Source organism: Homo sapiens, chromosome 4 (genome assembly GCF_000001405.40).
Source record: "Homo sapiens chromosome 4, GRCh38.p14 Primary Assembly".
Lineage (NCBI taxonomy): Eukaryota > Metazoa > Chordata > Mammalia > Primates > Hominidae > Homo > Homo sapiens.
The window spans coordinates 35,145,710-35,169,131 of NC_000004.12; positions in this window are offsets into that span (position 1 = coordinate 35,145,710).

The window sequence follows — 23,422 nt, forward strand, 5'->3', positions numbered from 1 at the left end:
GATTAATAAAGGAAACCTTCTCAGACTTCTTTTATTTGATGAAACCTTCCTCACATGTGCTCTCGATCTTCATTCACTTGTATCTTCCCTGACACTAGACTCTCAGCCCCATGAGAGCAAACCCTGTGTTTATTTTTACTAGCCATTATAATCAGTCTAGTGCAGTATCTGCTGTATCATAATAGAAGCTCACCAAATATTTTTGATTAACAAATGACTTTGTCTAGTTGATATCATCTTCTCAGATTTAATCCTAACTCTGTAGTTACAGAAAAGTAACACTATGATTAGTTTATCTTAAATCACATGCCTGCTTATTTGGTCAAGTCCATTTGATCTGTTACCAAAAGAAGAGTAAAGACATTTACCAATGAAAACTACTACACTACCATTTTGTATCCTGTCTTCTAACTTGCCAACATTAAGACAACTCTCTTAAAGTAATATAAGGCCAACAGAACTAACAAAGTAAAAGCTAAAGTTGGCTCACCAGTAATTATAGGCTAGAAATTACAGCAGCTTTATTTGAGTTTTTGGAAAATGATTAGAGATTCTTCCAGGAGGGAAATACAGGTAGGAATCTTTGGTAGTTTTTATATACTATTCATTTGAATATTCAAAACTATACTGTCTATGGAGACTGAGCTTCAGAGTTTCAATGTTGACTAGCCCAGGCAGAACATGAAATTATAGGCAGAATGGAAGATATGTGTTCTATTCTTAGGAGAGTATAATTCATTTTAAATCAAAGCGCTAGTGTCCTAAAAACTATTAATAATACAGAGAAAGGACCACACTCCTGTGAGAGTACTGAGAAAATAGACAAATCATTCAGTAAAGTTCCTAATTAAAAGCTGTAGCATTTCAAGTAGGCTATAAATCAAACACACACACACACACACGCACATACATACCTACATACACACATTTTTTCAAATTTCTAAATAAATTTGTGATGGTTACTTTTGTGTGTCATCTTGCCTGGGCCATGGGGCACCCCTATGTTTGGTTAGACAATATTCTGGGTGTGTCTGTGAAGGTGTTCTTGGAGATTAACATTTGAATTTGTAGACTGAGGGTGCAGGTTGCCTTCCCCAATGTGTGTGGGTCTCATTCAATCTGTTGAAGACCTGAATAAAATAAAAAGGCTTAACAAGAGAGAATAGGCTGTCTCTGCTTGATGCTCTTTAAGCTGGGACATGATCTTCTCCTCCTTTTGGACTCAAACTGGAACTTAAGCTATAAGCACTTTAGGTTCTCAGACCTTTGAACTGCAGATCTTGGGAGTTTGCATCCATAATTGCATAAGCCATTTTCTTATAGTAAATCTGTTTGTGCTGTTTCTTAGAAAAACTCTGACTAATAAAAAATTAGTTTAAAAAATATATTGAAAGCAAGATCAAAAAGATGTTCTGCTATATCTGAGAAAAACAGCAAATTCTTAGTACACTACAGGCCTTTTTTACTAAGAGCCAGACATAGATTCACTATTAAACTAAAGAAGCTAATTGTCAGTATCAGGACCCACCATTTTGTGGACATTTTCACATCACCGTGGAATAACCCTAGCAATGTGCTTATACAGACATACTTCTGAGTAAAATGGAAAAATCAAGATTGCTTTTAGGGCAATTAATTAGAACAACAATGTTTATACCACTATTAGTTACACTACTTAGAGCACACACTAACTGACTTTCATAAAACAATAAAACTTTGGGAGGCCGAGGTGGGTGGATCATGAGGTCAGGAGTTCAAGAGCAGCCTGGCTCACATAGTGAAACCCTGTCTTTCCTAAAAATACAAAAATTAGCCAAGCATGGTGGCATGCTCCTGTAGTCCCAGCTATTTGGGAGGCTGAGGTGGGAGAATCGCTTGAACCCGGGAGGTGGAGGTTGTCGTGAGCAGAGATCATGCTACTGCACTCTAGCCTGGACAACAGAGCAAGACTCTGTTCCAAAAAAGAAAAAAAAAAGAAGAAGAAAACTATAATTATCTAATTAAGGGCAAATTGAATTGCATATCATTGTGCATGCATATGCATTAAACATATTTGCAACTGGATAATCTTAGACATTAGAGAAGCACTGGTTTAAGGTAAATAATAATTCATTTTTAATAGGAAAGAACATTGGAGAATGTTAAGACAGCCTTAGCCACCAATGTGCCAGAAAAAAAAAAAAAGGAACATACTCTGTTGGTTGAATGCATTAAATTTACTCAACTGTGAGGAGCTAATAGAGGAGCAAGGATAAACAAGGTATGGGATTCCAGAAGGTTGTCAAACTGGTACGAAAATTCAAGTTTCTTAATTTCTGGTCTAATACACACAGATGGGATAGAGATAGGAATAGGAAGGGGTTTATGGAGGGAAATAGGAGAATATGGAGGGGATAGGGAGAGGAATATGGAGGGGGACAGAAAAAGGGAGAGAGAGAGACATACAGATTGCTTTTAGAAAATAAAGTTCTCCTTTTGACTCATTGGTCTTTGGTTAATAATGGAAACCTTCTCAGACTATATAATATAGAAAGGCCTATATTATATTATATCTCATATATAATATGTCTCTCTACTGAGATATCTCTGAGATTTGCTTCCTGAAAAAGCATAAATAGGGAGGAAAAATCAGCTCAAAATACCCTAAAGAAGGTGAATTTAAGCTAGGACTTTAGATTTATCTTGTAAAGACTAAATATAAAATTCCAGGCATATAAAGAACCAAAAGTTCAGAAATATTTTAGAGTACACTGATGTAATTAAAATAAAAGTTTTAGAGAATTTATTTGAAAACAAGTTGCATAGGTAAGTTCAGGTTTTGAAAAGCAGGGCGAAGTGTTAGCATGTCCACTCTTAAAATCCAAAGCTTAGTTTTCACCAAAACTTGTATTAGTATTTCAAAAGTTCTAAGCTTAATTGTGAAAGAAGCTGTTTGTAGTCACCTTTTAAATGCATGACTTCTAGAGTAGTAGTTTACTTAGTTACTTTCTCATTCTGTGTGTATTTGCATTAACAGTTTTCCGAATAGCATGGCCTGTATTTAGAAATGTTCTTAGATGTTACATCTTGCTATGTAGCTTCTTATGTATAAGCAGACAGAAGGTCCAAACAGAGAGGTTGGAGTGAAAAGTACAGGTGAGATAAATATTTAAGGGAACTGATGTTTTCTTATTCTGAAGTTCAAGAACATTAAGATCATCTGAAAATGATGCATTTTTATTGAATGCTTAATTTAATTTTATGTCATTCTGTGTTCATAAATATGTGAATGATGATTAGAGATTTAGGGTTCTTTTATGCCTACATAGAAATAGCTCAATGTTTCTCAAAGTATAATTCTTAGATCAGTGACACTAAAATGTTCATATTCAAACTCCCTGGATTTACTTTAAGAGTATAGATGAGACATTCTTGAGGTGAGACTCAGAAATCAACTCTAACAGTTATAATCCTTCAGAATAAGGTCATAATACTAAACATAAATTGCTATATTGAGCAATGGCTAAACTTATCAAAGTCATGCTAGTATAATATGAAATATAATGTTAAAAAGACAAAATTCCAAATTGGAATTCAGTTTTTATACGTGACAGCATTCTTTATATAAATCACTATTTCACATGATATTTTTAGTGCAAGTTTTCATTATGTAAAAAATTAAAAAAAGAAGCAATGACAATAAAATTAAAGATTAGTATAGTCCCAATTAAAGAATTTGCTTATATTAATTTACATTTTGACCAAGTTTTTAAAAAGATTTTTAAAGCAACTATTTTAAATGAGAAATGTTTGGCTATGTTATCTTTACAAAAATAAGACAAAAATATAGAAATGTTTCATACTAAGAAGAAAAAGAAGTAAAATTTATGAGGGAAAGACAGAGACTAAGATGTACCAAAATATGATGGCAAAAACTGACATTAGGCCTCTTATGAATCTATACAGCAAGCATGATTGATTGTCTCAATGAAATATAGATTATAATTCTTAGGGCCATGTGATAAGTTAGTGTACTAGTCAGTTTTCACACTGCTGATAATGACATAGCCGAGACTGAGCAATTTACAAAAGAAAGAGGTTTAACTGGACTCACAGTTCCACGTGGCCAGGGAGGCCTCACAATCATGGTGGAAGGCAAGGAAGAGAAAGTCACATCTTATGTGGATGGTGGCAGGCAAAGAGAGAGCTTGTGCAGGGAGACTCCCATTTTTCAAACCATCAGATCTCCTGAAACTTACTATCATGAGAACGGCACAGGAAAGACCTACCCCCATGATTGGATTACCTCCCACTGGGTCCCTCCCATAACACATGGGAATTTAAGATGAGATTTGGGTGAGGACACAGCCAAATCATATCAGTTAATAATGGTCTACCTTTACATTACATTTGTAATATTTTTTACTTTATGAATTTGTAAATTTGATATTTTGTACTGGTTTAAATAAATATTTCAATGCACTCATCTTAAGATTAAAAAAAAACTTGGGCAATCTTATCTGAAACACAATAGCTCTAATATCCCATAAAAATTATTGTCACAGTTAATCATAAACTGCTATACATAGGGTAGATAAATAGACAGATGATGGATAGATAGATGGATAAGCAGAATCACCACTGGTTTGGGCAGTTTTAAGAATGTGAAGACAACATCTGGCTTTGCTTCTCAGGCACCTTGAGAAGTTAGTACAATGTTCTAATATGTTAAATTAAAATGTGATGATTGAACATTATTCCAACACCCTAACTCCATTATATTTGCTCGAAGAAAACAAAAGGACATGGAGTATAAAGGTGAACAAAGCACAGTGAATGATGATATATGTTTTAGTTTAAGTGCAATTTATGCATTTCAGCACAAATCCCCTTGGTGAAAGCCATTTTCAGAAACAAACTTTAGGATATGCTGCTTCAAAACTGCTGTGTTTAGCTGATAGTCCATAAATCCTCTGTTGGAGATATTATGGTCTACAGTGGATTCTAGTTAATTGGCACATCTCAGTGGAAATTGAAATATGCCATTTAGACAATGATTGTCTCATTTAAATACATAATTGCTCTTATGAACTATCAGATACATTTGAAATTAGAAAGGATTTTTGAAATGCAAAACATTGACCAAATTGTATATGTACATAATTAAGACAAATTAGAAATGCAGATGTTAAGCGTGATACAAAACATTATCATCAAGACATATTCCCATTTTTTCTGTTCAGCAGTTTAATGAGTATTACAATCCATCTGGTCAACACAAACCCAAAATATACCTAATAACCAGAGTTAAAAATAAATTTTAAGTCTTTATCATTAATACCACTCTGTACTAGTAGTATTTTAGAAATCCACCAAGGCCAAAATGGCACAAATTTGCTGCTTTTTATAGCTAAATGTTATAAATGAAAGCATCAATTTAGAGTAAATTAATTTCTCATGGAAAAACAAAATAATTTTTTAAATTTCCAAAAATTTTATACTTGAATACTAGTCAATAGGGTGTTTCTCGAGTATGTACTAAGATGATTATTATGACAAATCTATATCATGCAAAAGTCTATTTGCTATAAGAAATATTTATAATGGAGGACATCAAGGAATTCACAACAGATGAAATACTAAGAGTTTTCTCTGTTTCTGAGGTATTAATAATGCTTTACCAAGAATTTTGCCCTTAATTCACCCCAAAACTTAAAATTTATATTTTTGGCAATTTATGTAATCATAGAATATCTGAAGTGTTACAAATGTGAAAGGTCAATGTCTTGGTGTTTTTCAATGAAAATAATTTCTAAGTATTAATAAATTATATATTTTTTGCAATTGCTTAGAAATATAATGAGTGCATGGATACATGTATGAAATGGAAAAATAAATTTTATTTTGTGCAGTTACAGCTAAGCTATCTTATTAATACAGCATAAATCAGTAACAGTTATAACATTACAAATGTTTAAGTCTAGAAATAATCAAAAAGATTTAAATAATCATTACAGCCAAATAGAGGATCCATTCACTGGCATTTTCCTTTGCATAATTAATGGCCCCGTTGTTTAAACGCTTTCTTTTTTAGTTAACATTATCCAATACTTAAAGTATTTAAAATATTTCAATTGCTGTATTGTATCAAAAATCTATATAATCAATCACATATCCTTGAACACTTTTTAAAAAATCTTATTTAGCATTTCACAAAGCACTTTGTTGAGCCCCCTAGCAGATTATTTCTTCGGAAAAAAGTCAAAGTCTTAAAATATAAAATTAATTTATCAAATTATATTTAAATTTAATAATTTATATATATATATTTACAGAAACATTTTAAAATATCGATTTATAATCTCAGAAAACATGAATGAATATTCCTGTTTTTCTATTCCCTGGTAATTGTAGTCGGCAAATTCTGGAGTGACCAGAGTAATCCTGCCCCCTGGAGTATAACTCTTGTATAGCCCCTGCACCTGAGCACCAATATAACCTATGGATATGACGGGGTAGTGGCTCCCTTAATCAGGTTATGCTATGTGACAAATGGTGATGGAATAGTCCGTCCTGTGATTGCATTATGTTATAGAAGTCTCTGTTATAGTTGACTGGAGGGAAAGAAGAAATCAGAGGGAAGAGGTCCTGATGGCACGGAAAAAAGCAAATAGCCATGTTGTAAACTGCCCACAGGAGGCACATGACAAGGAACTGAGGGCAGCCGCTGGGAGATGAAAGTGGTCTCCAACGGACAGCTAACTTGAACACAGAAACCTTAGTCCTACAGCTGCAAGAAAATAAACTCTTACAAAAATCGCATGAGGAATACAGGCAGGCCAGCCAGCTCCTTCAGTTCATTTTTTTGAGACCGCAAGCAGAAACCTCCAAGCAGAGAACACAGTGAGTCCTGACTCACAGAAACTTTGAAATAATAAATTCTGTTGTTTTATGCTGCTATGTTTGTGGCAATGTTTTATGCAACAATAGATAACGAATATAATTGTTATATATTGTCATTTAAAAATTACTATCAAATAAATAAAAATAGTTTAATTTTTAATTATTTGAATTCTTATGACTTTAATACTTCGTATTTTGGGGAATAAAATTTTGTTTTTTTAGTTTTTTTTTGTGACGGAGTCTCCCTCTGTCACCCAGGCTGGAGTGCAGTGGCACGATCTCTGCTCACTGCAAGCTCTGCCTCCCAGGTTCACGCCATTCTCCTGTGTCAGCCTCCCCAGTAGCTGGGACTCCAGGTGCCCACCACCACGCCTGGCTATTTTTTTTTTTTTTTTTTTTTTCTATTTTTAGTAGATACGGGATTTCACTGTGTTAGCCAGGATGGTCTTGATCTCCTGACCTCATGATCCTCCCGCCTCGGCCTCCCAAAGTGCTGAGATTACAGGCGTGAGCCACCACGCCCGGCCTAGACATTTTTTTAGTCTACTCTCAGCTTACTTTTACCATTCAGTGATTTTTTTCTTTTGGAATATATTAAAATGCTCTTTATGCTTCTCATATAAATAGTAAATCTTTTTCCCAAGTCCTTTTAAAAATTTTCTTTTTAAATGTGTTTGTGGAGAGTTTTATATAAAGTTTTTATTTTGAACTTTACAGTTCCACATTCTGATTTATTTTCTTTTGCTTTGATGCTTAGAAAGCCCTCTCAATTTGGAGCTATATTTGCATTGGTTTGCTAGTAGATCACTGATATTTTATTATTGAAGGTCACATTACTCAGTTGAATCTGAACAACTGAAGTGCATATTTTTCAACCACAACATTTTCAGATTTAAATTCATCATGCCTCATATTCCTACTTTCTTCTTTTTAGTGTCCAAATGAATATTATTTTATTACACGTCCTGGAAGGACCATCCTATTGTCTTCTACCTTCCCTTCTAAACTCAGTCACGGTGTTTTATCAAACTCTTGTTTCATGATATAGAAATTCCCTGCATGCTCCACCTTTTGGTCATTTTGCTTTTTTAGAAATCTGGCTGGATTTGATGACGCAAATCTAAAACTACCTCCATGAAATAAACGTTCATTATTTTCTCACTTCCCGAGGAACTCAGGGTTTCTTTCTCTACAAGAAATCTTCCAGAGAAGTACTTGATCACATTCTCAGAAAAACTGCTGCTCCTTTCAGCCTAATGTCAATCTTCCTTATTGTCATCACTGTTATTCATCTACCTCCTAGTCTCTTGTGCGTAGTTGAGTTTTAACACCAGGCTCCATTTCTTGCTTCCCATAATGCCTTGTTACTATTGGGTCCTTTGGACATAGATGTGGATGGCTGATCCAATAACCTAGGCCATTTTTTTTTTCAGTTCTTTATATGTAATGAACTTCTCTTTCAATCTCTTCTAATTACTGGTGTCAGGTTGACTGCAGAAATTTATTGCATTAAAATATCACCATTTCGACTACATTGTCCTCATTATGTGTATTCAAGTATCTGTTCTTCAACTTTATGTTGATGAAAAGTACATCAATCCCTCTAACTAAATATTGTGAGCAATTTTACTTTCATTTTTCTTTTTATTCCACTAAAATTACAAGTTTAGTCATTTAATAACACTTATAAATGTTACTTTTACTTTCTATGGCTATATAACAACCATACACTTATGGGCCTGAAAAGGAAATTGTTAAATCCTTATGTTAACAAGTCAGGAAACCAGGAATAGTTTACCTAGCTCCTCTGCTTATCTCTCACAAAGCGGCAGTTGAAATATTCATCACTTCTCTGATCTCATTTGAAGCTCAGGGTCCTCTCCCAAGCTCATGTTATTACTAGCAGAATTCACTCCTTGTACCTATGGCGCTCATAATAGTGTGCTTTTTCAAGAAGAACAGGAAAGCATCCCTGAATTTGGAAAGGTGTAAGCCCTTTTATAGGCCCTTTTATAGGGACCAACAGAGTAGGCAAGACTTATTCAGGTTAATCTACTGTTAACTCTGTCGAACTGATTAAAGACTTAATCACAACTGAACATCACCTTAAAAGTTGTCATAGAATGGAACTTAATCGCAGATATATCAACAGTGGGAGTCTTAGGGGTCATCTTGGAATATTACCCAACACAAATGCCATATATTTTGTTGACCCTCTATCCTTTCAATGTCACCTCCTTAGCAAAAACAAAAAACAAAAAACAAACAAAAAAAACCCACTAAACTGAAACATCTGCCTTCTTCAGCTAGAAGCACACTACTAGGTTAAGTACATGGCCAAATAATTTTAGGCATCTTGAACCCAGACATCTCTTTTGCGTCATTTATGCAACTGCCTTTACATACAATTCTTAAACATGTCAGTGACCCTTTAAATTCAATATGCATACACTTTATTCATGTTCACTCCTCTAAAAGCTGATCCAACTCTTGCGCTTTCTCACTTAGTAAAGGGCATTGCTAGAAATCCAGGTGGTAAGCCAGAAATCTGGCAGTCAATTCTGAAATCTCATAGTCTCTAAGCTTCATATCGCAATCATTAATGTCTAACAATATATGTTAAACCCATCTGTCCTGTGTTGGAACTCTTATACTGGGCTACTGTGTGAGCAAGAGATAAACTTTTGATGTGTCAAGCATGGAAATCTGGGGCTGTTTCTACAGCAGTTAGCATACTATGGGGAATGCCGGTACAGGTCCTTTGAAGTAGGATTCTACAATAATAAAAAAAATTAAGTTGTATGACATTGGCTTACTGAGCAAGTGGTAGTTTGGCAAAACTAACATAGGAAGTAATGAATTGGTTGCTTATTAAATAACTTCAAAAGCAGAAAGCATCCTTATGGACCCTTGGGCTCCAAAAGAAGAGATTCAAAAAGAAAATCATGGAAGTATGTCTTTGGTCATTACTGGTTATATTTAATAAGGTATCAGAAAAAAAATATGAGTTCAAGAAAGGAGTGTATCATTTGGAAACAGAAAGAAAAGAGTAGAGGTATATCAATACAGAAGTTTGGAGATTTGAAAAAAAAAACTTATGCTTCTAAGTTCCAAATAATAAAAAAAGAATTAAAAATCTTTTGAGAACAAAGACTCATTTTGCTGGCAGAGATGAAATTAAGCTTGTAGCTTCTCTACCCAAGCAATGTCATTAAACTGAGAGAGGGAGATATTGGAGTAGGAAAGAATAATAATCGGTATTGAGAATTATATTTAGCTATGAGTTTGGTATGATAATTCATATATTAGACTCAAATGGATCAGAAACACTCATATGTAGATTCCCTGACCTCAAGAAAGTGGAGCATAACTCTCCACTCTCTCACTGCTATGAGATGCTCAGTGATTTTCTTCCAAAGCATACAATATATATGAAAGAGGAGTGAGAGAAAGGTAAGTTTACAGTAATGAGACCTGACAAACACTACCTCAGCAGTCATTTGATCAAGGCCAACATCAACATCAAGTCATGTTGATTGCATGTTTCTGCTCTTGATACATTGTGATGAAAATGACATTTAACCTTTGTGATCTTTCTCCTAAAGATCCATAAACTCAGTTCAATTATGAGAAAACACATCAGTCAAACCCCATTTGGGAAGTATACTACAAAACACCTGACCAGAATTCCTCAAAACAGTCAAGATCATCAAAAGCAAAGAAAGTCTGAAAGACTGCCAGAACTAAGGGAAGACGAATGCCACATAAAAACTAAATGTAATGTGTTATCCTAGACAGAATCCTGGAACAAAAAAAGAACAGATTAAAACTAAGGTAATGTGTGTGAAGTATGGGCTTTAGTTAGTAATAATTTATCAATATGGCTCATTAACTGCAAAAAATATACTATACGGATGTAAGATGTTAATAATTGAGGAAACTGAGTGAGAAGTATATAGAAATTATCTCTTCTATATTCACAGATTTCCTTTACATATAAAATTGATGTAAAATAATAACATTTTCTTATAAGGAAATCCTTGGGGTTATGACACTTTTCTGTATCTTGCTGCAGTAATGATTATACCAATTTATGTATGTGACAAAATCTCATAGCACTAAATACAAACATACCCTGCACACACACACACACACACACACACACACACACACACACACCAAAACGTGTATCAGTTCACGTAACTAAGTCAAAAATTAGCATAAGATTGGTGATTTTCATCAATGTCAATATATTATTTATGAGATTTACTAGAATTATGTAAGATGTTAACATTGGTGGAGGTTGGGAAAAGAGTATATGGGATATATCTATGTTATTTCTTACAACTTTATGTAAATTTACAAGTATCTCAAAATGAGATAGTTTAATTAAATAAATTATTTGGAAGCACAGAGCTCATGAGATAGCCAAAACAATTTTGAAAGAGAAGAATAAAGTAATATGACTTCTCCTCTCTGATATCAATGCTTACTATAAATCGAGACACTTGAATAATTGCATAAGAAGAAATACATATTAATTAGAATAGAGTGTCCCAAAATAGATCCACATGTACATGTTAATTTGATTTTGGTTAAAGTTATTTAGGTAGTTCAATGGTAGATATAGTCTTTCCAGAAAAAAGTTGGAAAAATTTGATATTCTTATGAAAAGAGATAGTAAAAGACGGAGATAGAGAGAAAGAGAATGAAAGGCAAGAAAGTGCATCAACCCTTACCTTATATAAAGCTAAACTTGAGATAGATCATAGACCTAAAAGTAAGACCAAAAATAATAAAACCTCTAGACAACAATATAGTTTAAAATTAAATATAGATTCATTTCATAGGACACATTAAGCCCAAAACATCAATGAGTAAGTTAATAAATTAAACTTCATCAAAATTTTTAAAATTCTTCTTTTCAAATGTTCCATTCAGAAAATAAAAACACAAGCCATAGACTGCGTTTGCAAGCTTCATTCCTGATAAAGGACTGCTAATCAGAATTCAGTCAAAAAAACAAATAACCCAATAATAAAATTGACAAAAGATTTAAACAGACATTTCACTAACTAACATGCCCATAATGAATACAAGAAAGATGAAAATCTCTTTCACTAACCTTGAGTCACTAATGAGGAACCCTCATTAGTCATGGGTGAAATGTAAATTAAAATCATAATGTAGTACCACTGCACACATATTACAATGGCTAAAATCATCAACACTGACAATACCAAGTGTAGATGAGCATCTAGAACACTCATGTTGTCACAGGGAATGCAAAATACAGCAGCTAGTTTAGAAAACAGTTTTGAAGTTCCTATAAAGTTAAGCAACATTTACATATCCTAACAATACCACTGCTTGGTATTTACCTGAAAGAAATAAAAGCATGTGTGCATTCATTACCTTTCATTAAAGGTGTGTTCATAATTACCAGAAACCACAAATATTCCTTATGTCCATCAACTGGTAAATTGACAAACTGTTGCACCAGTACAATAGAATGATACTCAAAAGAAGAAACAAACTACTGATAGATGCAAGAACAGGGTGAATCTCAAAAGTAGTGTAAAAACTGAAAGAAGAGAAATACAAAACAATAATTACTCATTTGTTCTATTCATCGGACATTTTGGAAAAAAATATCACACAGGCAGAATGTATACCAATGGCTGTCATGGTCTGGGGGTGAGGGGAATGGGTTTACTGCAAAGAAACACAAGCAAAAAAGACAGTCGTGGTCTATCAATAAGTCACCAAATGATAATGCCTTAAGCCCTTTTCTCTAAGTTTCAAAATCCCTATGAAACATAACTCTATTTTTTTCCTTTCAAATACTGATATCTGTAGATGTGAGATGATTTTTGCAGATACGATAATACTGGGGAAAAAACTGCCATGTTTTTCCATTATGTAGAACTTATCACTAACTTTGGTAAGCTGTGGGGTTTCTTTTTTTTTTTTTTTTTTCCTAATATCTGCTGTGTCTTTAATTCAGGTAGTTCTTCTATAAAATAAAGTTTCTTACAAACATAAGTGGTATGGTACGGTTCTGTGTCCCCATCTAAATCTCATCTTGAATTGTAATCCAAATTGTCATCCCCATATGTTAGGAGAGGGACCTTGTAGGAGATGATTAAATCATGCAGGTGGTTCGCCTATGCTGTTGTCGTGACAGTGAGTGAGTTCTCACGAGATATGATGGTTTTAAAAGGGGCATTTCTCCCTTTTGCTCTACACTTCTTTCAGCATATGAAGGATGTGTTTGCTTCCCTTTCCGCCACAGTTATAAGTTTCCTGAGGCCTCCCCAGGCCTGCAGAACTGTGAGTCAATTAAATCTCTTTCCTTTATAAACTACCCAGTCATGGGTATGTCTTTATTGCAGCATGAAAACAGAATAATACAATAAGCATGTTAAAATATTTGTTTCTTTGGTCCCTGAGTTTTCTTTATAAATGGAGTTCCAACAAGATGTCTCAGGTAGATTCATTCCCATGATCTGACTAAATTGTATTTTCCAGAAAGTCACTGACATATCTGATGAATCCAGGCCTTCCAAGTTATATGAGCCAATAATGTACCATTGTTGTATAGACTCAAATGACTTATGTTTTCAGTCACTTTCCACTGAAATAGTCCTAACTGACATACCAATGTATTAGAACAGGTTCTCCACAGAAACAGAATGAATAGGATGTATACAGATAAATAGAAATATTTATTATGAGGAATTGATTCAAATTATTATGAATTCTGAAAAGTTCCATAATCTGGTATCTGAGAGTTGAAGGCCCAGGAAAGCCTGTGGTGTAGTTCCAGTTCCATATATACTTGGTAGGCTACTTGGTAGACTGAGGCAGGAGGATCATTTGAGCCCAGGGCTTGAAATCTAGCTTGGACAACATAGTGAGACCCTGTCTCCAAACAAACAAACAAACACAAACTGTAGGTACTAAAGGGAGACAATGATGTAAGTCCCAGTCTGAGTCCAAAAACCACATAACCAGGGGCTCTGATATCTGAGAGCAGGAAATGAGTGTTCCAGTTCAAGTAGAGAATAAATTGAAGATTTCTCCACCTTTTTGTTTTATTCAGGCCTTAACTATCTGTCTAAGAAAAATATATAAATATAATTATAAAATTATAAAAATGTGTATGTAGGTATATATGTATGTATGTATAAATTAATCAGAATAAAATGTCCAGAAATAGATCCACATATACATGGTAATTTGGTTTTGGCTAAAGTTTGTCTAGGGAGTTCAATGAGAGATGGTCTTTTCAAGTAAAGGTCAGAAAAATTGGATACTATTATGTAAAGTAATAGAAAAAGAGGGAGACACAGAAAGAACAAATAGGATGGTATTCACCTACATTGATGAGGGTCATCTTTACTTAGTGTACCAATTCAAATGCTCATCTCTTCCTCAATCACTCACAGGAGCACCCAGAAATAATGTTTGACCAGCTATCTGGACATACCTTAGCCCAGGCATGTTGGCACATAAAATTAAGCATCATGTATTTTGCATCTTCAATGAGGTTTTTCTGGGTATGTAAAAAAATGTTGTTAAAGTTATTTGAAAGAATAGGTGTAGTTTCCTAAAATTTAAATTTATAAAGTCATTTATAACCATAAAATATGTTGGTGCTTTTCACTCCAATTACTGTTTTAGAATGAGGAATTTAAAACAAGCTCTCTGGAATAAATTACTATCCTAAAAATGGTAGCTTTTCCCCATTAATCTAATCATTGATTGTTAGAATGAAGCAAGGAGAAAAGTGCTTCAGCTCATAGATTTGAAGTTGTGTCACTTCAAGCGTTGTCCAATTATAAAACACTACGAAATTTCTTTGTCTTTTCCCCATTGGAAAATTGTGGATTTATTTCACTTTTCTCTTCTTATAAACTACATTCAGATCTCTGAGGTTATTTCTAAATTAGCAAAAGTTTATATAAATAGTTTGGTCACATTTGCAGAATAGATGAAACCTTGCTTAAACAATCCTTTACGCCCTTAAATTAGATTTTTTAAATGAATCTGGTAGGTGGAAGAATTGGTGCCTTTGTTTTAGCTCCAGAAGTGAAAGCTGATTTCCTGCAATCCAACTAAGTATGTAATAGAAGTAAAAAATTTTAAATAGCTTATGAGGTCAAAATAGTCTATTAATGAGATCTGTCATGTTAAGGTTTACCAAAATTACTAAGTCAAGGATTTATTTAAGACAGTCAAGAATAAATATCAGAAGAATTATAGTCTATTCTACTCTTTGACTCTTAGAAAATTTCTAATTTTATCATAATATAAGGAATAGCTTATCATTATTTGTCTTTGTCACTACATTTTTATTAGATTTAGCCATAAGTTAAATTTTAAACTATATTTTAATACAATCAGAACATTTCATTAGTAACTGACAATTGTATTTTCTAATCTAGTTGTTCAAGATAGAAAACCTGTAATCACCTTTGATACCTCTGTTTTTCTCAGTCTCCATGTTCAATGCCTAGTTCCTATTGGCTCTTTTCAAAATTTATTCAGAATACAGTTATTTCTCTCTGCTTCTAACACTACCACCATGTCACCAACCACTATCATATAGACTTCAAGATGATATTTCTGCTTCCAAATTTTTCTGTCACAGACTATTCCCCACAGGAGAGGTGGAGTAATCCTTTTAAAATACAAGGAAGGTCATAATGGATTTTCTGTTCAATGGCTTTGTATCTCATAATCAAAGCCAAAAGTCCTACAGTGTCTAAAATTTCCTATGTGATTGGCACTCTTATTATATCTTGGTCTTCGTCTCTGTTAATCTCACCCTCCCTCATTCTTTTCCAGACATTCAATCTTTTCCTGTATCTGAAACATTCCAGGAGTTTTGATTATCTCAAGTTTTTTTAATCTAACCTGTTTGTTTTTTTTCAAACAGATATACACACAGTTTGCTCCCTGACAACATCCAAGTCATTGCCTTTATGTCATCTTCTCCACAAAGCATAATACTCTAGTTAAGATTTAAGCCCCTCTCTGCTAAGAAGCCAGTAAACCAGTAAACCCTATACCTTTGTAACTTATTTGCTTGCCATAGTACTTGTTATCTAAAATACTACATGTCTTACTTATTTATTTATTAACTCTCTTCTCAACTTGTATCTCTTCTTCAAGATGTCAGTATTTCATGTGTGTTTTGTTTACTGTATCCCAGCATGTGGAACAGTGCCTGCTACATAATAGATGTCTATTTGATATTTTTGAATTTCTTAATAAGCCTAAATACAACAAATGTGATTACAGTTTTTAGTTATAAGTCAACTATAAGATTAAAACAATTTAACATACAATAAATGGTTCTTGGGCTATACCTTTTGTGTATTACCTACAATGCCTAACTAATCCCCCTGCCAAATAATGTAAACTAGAATTTTACAGTTGCTAAGATTCAGAGAATCTTAGCAATAACTGTGCTTTTAAAAGCCATGTAAAATAAGGGAATAAAGTTAAAAGAAAAAATTCAGAGCCAAGTAATTATTCCAGTCAATTAATTTGTATATATCAAATGCATGAATTATCTGCTAATGAAATTCTCTTCATTACACCCACCATTAGAATTTTCTTTAATCCTAAAGGGCACTAGTCCAATACTCTTTTCTATCTGCATTCTTTTACACAATCTCCCCATGTCATGCCTAGAAGGTCACTAAGTTAATTGGCTGTTGAGTACTTAAAGTAGTTAATTCCATCTTATAAGTTATCTGATTTTCAATTTAAAAGTTCTTTAGTCAAGGTTACAAGATTAGCATAACCTCAAATCAAGAACATGTTTCTGGGCACGGCACTGCTTCACTAGTCAGTAGCTCAACGAACCTATCAATATTGGTGTAATTGCATGAGGCACCAGCTTCATTTACCCAAACTGAAGAGTACATCATATGCTTTTCCTCATGAATTTTATGTTGTTTGTAAAAATTTCCAAGGGACTATGTCTAGGGAGTGAATAATAAAAAGTGGTGAATAAGTATATAATTATAACAGGTTTGATTTGCTTTTTAATGCTTAATTTACATTAGTAAATATTCATGTTAAGTAAGTAATATCTGCTTTGTTAATGAAGTGAGCATCTCCATTTTTACCTGATAAATATGATTTGTTAACACGTTTAATTCTCACTCAAATGTGTGAAACTTGTTTTGTTTTACCCTCATTGTACAGATTAGGGGTCCAACATTATTAACTTGCCCAAGATTCTGTGTATTATAACAGGAATCAAATATTTCTGACTTAGGTATCCTTAATCTTTCTTTCACACTGGTTGCAAACTCATACAAGCAGTCAGATAAGGGTAAATCAGTGAATCATAAAGTGTGTATAAAAATAGAAGACAAAAATTTGGCAAATCAAGAGTGTGTGCCCAGTTCATAAGCACAGATAAGCTTAAATTCAGTTAATTATTGCATTGCAGTATTGTGGGTTCAGAATTGCAGGATTTTCCATTTTGAGCCAGATCATGGATTTGTAAATACACAACAGCTTTTGTAAATATTGTAGCATATATCTAAAAATGTGTAGGCTGATTATGAACTGCAGTTTTTAAATGTTGCACTATACCATGTTCTCCCCATTGATTTAAATGAGTAGCTGATAATATTGCTCTTCAAGCTGCCAGTTTCAAATGACCATTATCATAATTCATTAAATTGTGTCCTCTAGAGATTTTTCAGATGAGTGGTTTCCAAACTGAGCCCCACTCAGCTCTGGGCTCCATAGAAGTCGCTAATGAGTCTCTGCTGTAGGGAATGAAAGGAATGCTGAGTAGTCAGGGTTGTTGACTTCCCAGTTTTAATTCAACTAGTGTAGCTTTTCTTTGTTTTGGGAAATATTGACTCAAAAATATTCTGCTGATAAAATATTTGAAAGTTACTCCTCAACCATGTGATTACCAAAACTGTACAGTTACCAAGAAAGGTTTAACTGAAAGTGAAATAAAAATCAGTAAAGGCATTGGTGACTTTCAAAGTATTATTGTCTACTCTAAAAATTGTCATATGGCCCCAAAAATTTTAATAAGAAGCCTGTAGACATATTTTTACCTACTTTTCCTACAACACAATCCAGTGGGGTCAGAATGTTTCACATGTCGGGGCTGCTTGATCCTACTTTATTTGTTTGAATTACCCTCCCTGTGAGGCAAGAGTGGAAATTTCCCAGGAAGAATATCCTGTTCATTGGTGTATGGCTTCTAGTCAGGGTTGCTCCAGAGTAGAATGTCTGGTCATGTGATAAGGCTTATTACTGTCATAATGTTTATATGCTTTCCCTAAACAATTTGTGTATTTCTGGTACCCCACCTCATGCCTTACTTTTTAGATTCTCAGAAAAATTGTTTTCTACAAAATGATATGAAGATCTCTTCCATGTAGTATTTTCCATGGCTACAGAATGCATATTTTTTCTTAGCATAACAGATTGTAGTTTTCCATTTTGCTTCATTTATACACTTAATAGTTACCAATAATTTATTTGTAATTTTCTAATTACACAAGAAAATCATTATTCATTTCAATATCTAAATAAATATTGAAGAGTCACATTTTCCATAATTAAGCTATTCTGTAATTTTGGGGTTGATGTTTAACTAGATGTCACAGTAATGTAATATACAGTCATACAGTCGGGTGAGTAAAACTGAAAGACACTTATTAAGGGGAACTTAACATTTTGGTCAGAAATGGCCAAAAAAAGAGATTTAAAATGTGGCATCACAAAAAATATTCAAGAATATTTTCAAAAATGGAAACAACAATGGAAGAGTCTTTCTTTTACTTTCTATTAAAACCATTAGGTAGAATTAGCTGATTTTGCCCATGTTTTCTCTATTCTTTAAAACAAACTAATATTCCTACTTCATAGCCACATTGGCCATAAAATAAATCTAACACTATACTTAGGAACTTCTTCCTATCCTGCAAATTCTTTACCTGTTCTGTATTTAACTTAATTGTTTCTAGCAAGTAGATTTCTTGCTCTTTGGATTTCTGGTTTATACTAACCTTCTTAATTGTTAAACCTCATCTTCTCTTAACGGATTTATCTTATCCAAAAAAGAGACTAGTCTATTAATACATTTTTGGTAGCACCGCACATTTGCATGTACACCTTCCATTATTAAGAGAAAACTTCGCCTTCATCTAAGCCTTATGGAACTTAAACCTTCACCCTTTACATTTAATCCATATCCCTTTTGAGTCAGCTTCAATTCTTCAGGTGAAGGTTGAATTTGAATAACTTGCTGAAAATCCACTGTTTTGCCCCACCTGACAATAGAAAAGTCACAACTTTTTATCTCTTGGACTTGGAAATATGATACATGAAATGAAAATTTGGCTTTCTAAGGATTGTACACTTTTGAAAGCCAATGATCCAAGTTGAGGTTTAAGTTGGACTTTTTCTTTGTCATCTCCAGACACAGCCTTTATCTAGTCTCTAAAAATAATTAAAAATTACATTCTAAAATAGGTGGTCTTTTCCAGCTACTACAAACTATTTTGTTTGGGCTGGTAGCAAGACGAAAAGCCCTACTCAGATAATAGCAGGTCTGTTCAGAGAGGTTAACATGGACTACCTGACACCCTTTTCTCTCTTCCCTGCTTTATTTTTCCCCATTCCACATACGATCATTTGATATTCTAGGTGATATTTATATACATTTAACTCCTCCCCCCAACATGACCACACTTGAATAAAATTCGATGGGAGTAAGGACATTTAGGACATGCCTTTTTTGGACTTGCTAGTTTTGACAATCATTTGAGCCAATTCCATAAAAGCTCAATAGATAGATAGGAAGAGAGAGAAAGAAAGAGAGATACCTAGATAAATAAGCAGATAGAGATGGAGATGCAGATATATAGACATAGATATACACACACATCCTATTTATTCTGTTCAAAAACCCTGACTAATACAGATTTTGGTATTCAGATGCTCTGACTAAATTTTTCTTATCAACCTACAACGTAGTGACTAACTGTTCCTTATTGTCTTTGGATAAATGCAATTTCAATTATGAGAATTCAGTTTGAACACCATCAGAGCCATTACTAAGAACTCCGAAGGCTTCCAATAATGGAAAAACTAATTTGGTCTTATTTTGAACCTAGCTTTGTCCCTTACACCCACCAAAACAAACAAACCACTCATGAAAACCCATCTACAAAATTAAAAGCAAGAAAGGCTAGATTCTCTGGAATATACACTGCATCCTCATTGAGATAAAAGTAAGCAATGCCTATCTCAATGTTTGTGCCATGAATAATTTGATTAAATTACTACCTGCATGTGTTAACTTGGTAAGAGGTACAGGCATTTAGTGACAAGACAAATATCAGTCAAAACACTTCCCCCTAGTGAAACCATAAATCAAGAATGACTTGAGTCTCTGGTGCTTTCCAACAGCTTCAGGCACAGCATTGAAGTAATTCATGACCTGTTTATCTATGCCTTGATGCTGGTGTACTATAATCCATATACCCCAGCCCCCTACTGCCACCCTGTTAACACAAAGACCAAAAATGTTCTCAGGATGACTCTGGGAGATATGAAAATCAATGATCCTATAACTAACTAAGCTTGCTATACACAGTAGAGGTCAGTTACATGGTGGAAACCGGAACCCATGAAGCATTGATCGATAATGTGTTGACTAGACTTATGAAGCTTAGTGCCTCATTTCCTTAACATCTGAACCCAGAAACTGGTAACAGCATAAGCAAAAAAGAAATGCCACATTTATGAAGTGAATATATATTTTTCCCCAGAGTTTTGCTCTGTCTCCAGTAGTACCAAAAGAGGACCTTTGAACATGTGTCTTTTCATTAAAGTAGAACGTCAAAAAATATTGAGTTCATCACGCCTAGACATTTGTAGTTTTTCAGCCATAGCAGACGATAAATCATGTACCTAAAATAAAACAATGCTCGTACCAGCCCCTGGCTAAGATCCAGAATGAGTCATTTAAATTATGCAATTATGATTTAATGATTACATGTAGCCATGTAAATGTACTTCAACAATTTACTCACAAGAGATATGCATCCTCTGAGCTAAATGTAATATATTAAAAATGTTAAGTATGCTTCACTAGATCTTTTGACGGCTCTGCATATGGAATAGTATGTCAATGTCCTGCTATACATGTGTGCCAGACATAGATAGGCTCAGAAGTTACTATATCCATTCACATGCTGAGTGACTTATGATATTGTCACAATGGCATTTATAAACAATCTAACACCACTAATGATTTCTGTTGGCATGTGGTCTCTTTAGAAATCTACGTATCCTCTCTTTGGTTTACCTCAGCAAATTTATCTAGTTTTATTAAAGAATTTTTCTACCCCCCGGAACTATTTTATTATAACTAGTCATTCTAGGTTGTATCAAAGTACTGATAAATAGTGTTCAAAACTCTATTGGTAGTTGCCTGTCCATTAGCCATTACTCTAAGTCCATTTGCTATCTAGAAATGTCAAGTGGACCGTGGGAAAATGTCTACACCATTACAATTGCATTAAAATGAAATTGAAAACTACCAACCGTACATCTTCTCTGGCAGTCATAATGCTTTACCACAGCAAATCACTGCATTTACTTCTATCCTTTAGAAACCATTGAAAGTAATGGCAAAAATGGCAATTACTTTTGTACCAACTTAATAAATTTACCTTCCACCCTGCTACTTTCCTGCAACAAGTTTGCCATAAAATGGCAATGTTCAATCAGTACCAGGACAGTATTGAGGGAGAGTAGAACATACAAAAAGCTCAATAGGACACTTGACAATATGTCAAGAGAGTTACCTATTATATGCTAATAGAAATTGAGTTCTCAGAGATAAAATGTGATTTCTAAATGCCACCTGGCTTTCCATCTGACACATTCATGCCATCTGCTTCTGATGAAAATTGAAAGATTGCTTGCTAGTGCTGGTCAAATATTATCATGTCAATCAAATTCGCTTTCTCCTATCTTCAATTGCCTTGGAAATACAAATTCTTCCCATCTTCCTTGCCTCCATGCTACTCCTAACTCCCCTAGGCCCTATGCTGCATTCTATTTTCATGTGTCGAGCTATCATATGGACACAGCAATTTAACCCAGAAGTTTAGTCATAAAAACCTACTGAGGTTGAAACCATTTTTTAAGGATGCCCACACCTGCCCTCATAACAACTTGTTGGCCATTTTCTATGTAGTTGAGCTAGTTTTAAAATGTTTGGCTCTATCACTCTGTTATTAATTCCACACTTAGTCATTTGAATTTCTTTGCACCAGTCCTCACTGGTATCCAAGTTTTAATTTGGAATAATTGTTTCTGACTTTGCTTATCTGTATCTTCTAGTTTTAGAAGAGTAGGACAGGTCCTTAAATATATATTTTTTCTGTACCTTATTTTGGGGCAACAAGAGAGGGAACATTAAGACTAAGGCATCCATGGACTACAAAAAAATAAATATATGACACTTAACACTAAGGCCCTGGGAAGCACCCTAGAAGTGGTGCTCTACCTTAGCCATGTGTATAAGTTATAGACAAAGAAAAGATTCTGTCTTTTGAATCTCTAAGAATGCGATATTTAATGTCCTTATTCTGAATTTTTTTATTAAGTTGTATTTTTAACTTGGATAACTGCCTGTTTTTTTCCAGCTGGTTACGGAAGTGCTTGAGGGGGAATGGGATTTGGGAAATATGCTAGCAATGCAATTGTCCATGATTGCTTGGGGACTTTTGAAAAAGAGCTTTGATAAAAGTTTTGATATTGAATGTAATCAATTAGTCTTCTGAGGCAGGTAATGGAAGGGGAATTAGATCCATATATACAGCCCACTTGTACTCTCACATATAGTGGCTCGACTTCATATTGAAGAGATCAAATTAATTGTAATGTAGACTCAGTAAAGAGCGTTTACATGCTTTGCAGACCCGAGCATTCATGTTTGTACAGAAACCATGTGACAATTACAGTCTATCTATAGAATAATTAACATATTTAATGTTATAAGAGAAAGACTTTATTAATCTTTTACTCTCTGTATCTATCTGCCTATATTTTCTAGGAATTTCTGAAACAATTGACTGTATATACAAATTTGCAAAATCAGATGAAACTATTTTGCTAATTGCTTAAACCTCCCAGGAATTGAAAGCAGCCTTATCCTCTCGCATAAGTTTAGGAACAGATTGAATTGAATAGTTCTGAAAGAGTAGCTTTACCTAAATAATTAATGCAGTGTTTTTCAAAGTGTTTACCTCCAGGTTAGTACCTGCCCTATAAGGGTAGGAATACCTATGTCTTATTCTGTAGATAAATGTTTAGAGCAGAAATCCATTAAGACTAATGAAACCTGAGGCATTGTTGCAGCATGTTAATTTGCCTGAGCCTATTAATTCTTGTCTGTTTTCAGACCATATTTTACTTAAACAATGGTCTGGGAATTGAGATAAAACCATTGCAAAATGCATATAAAATG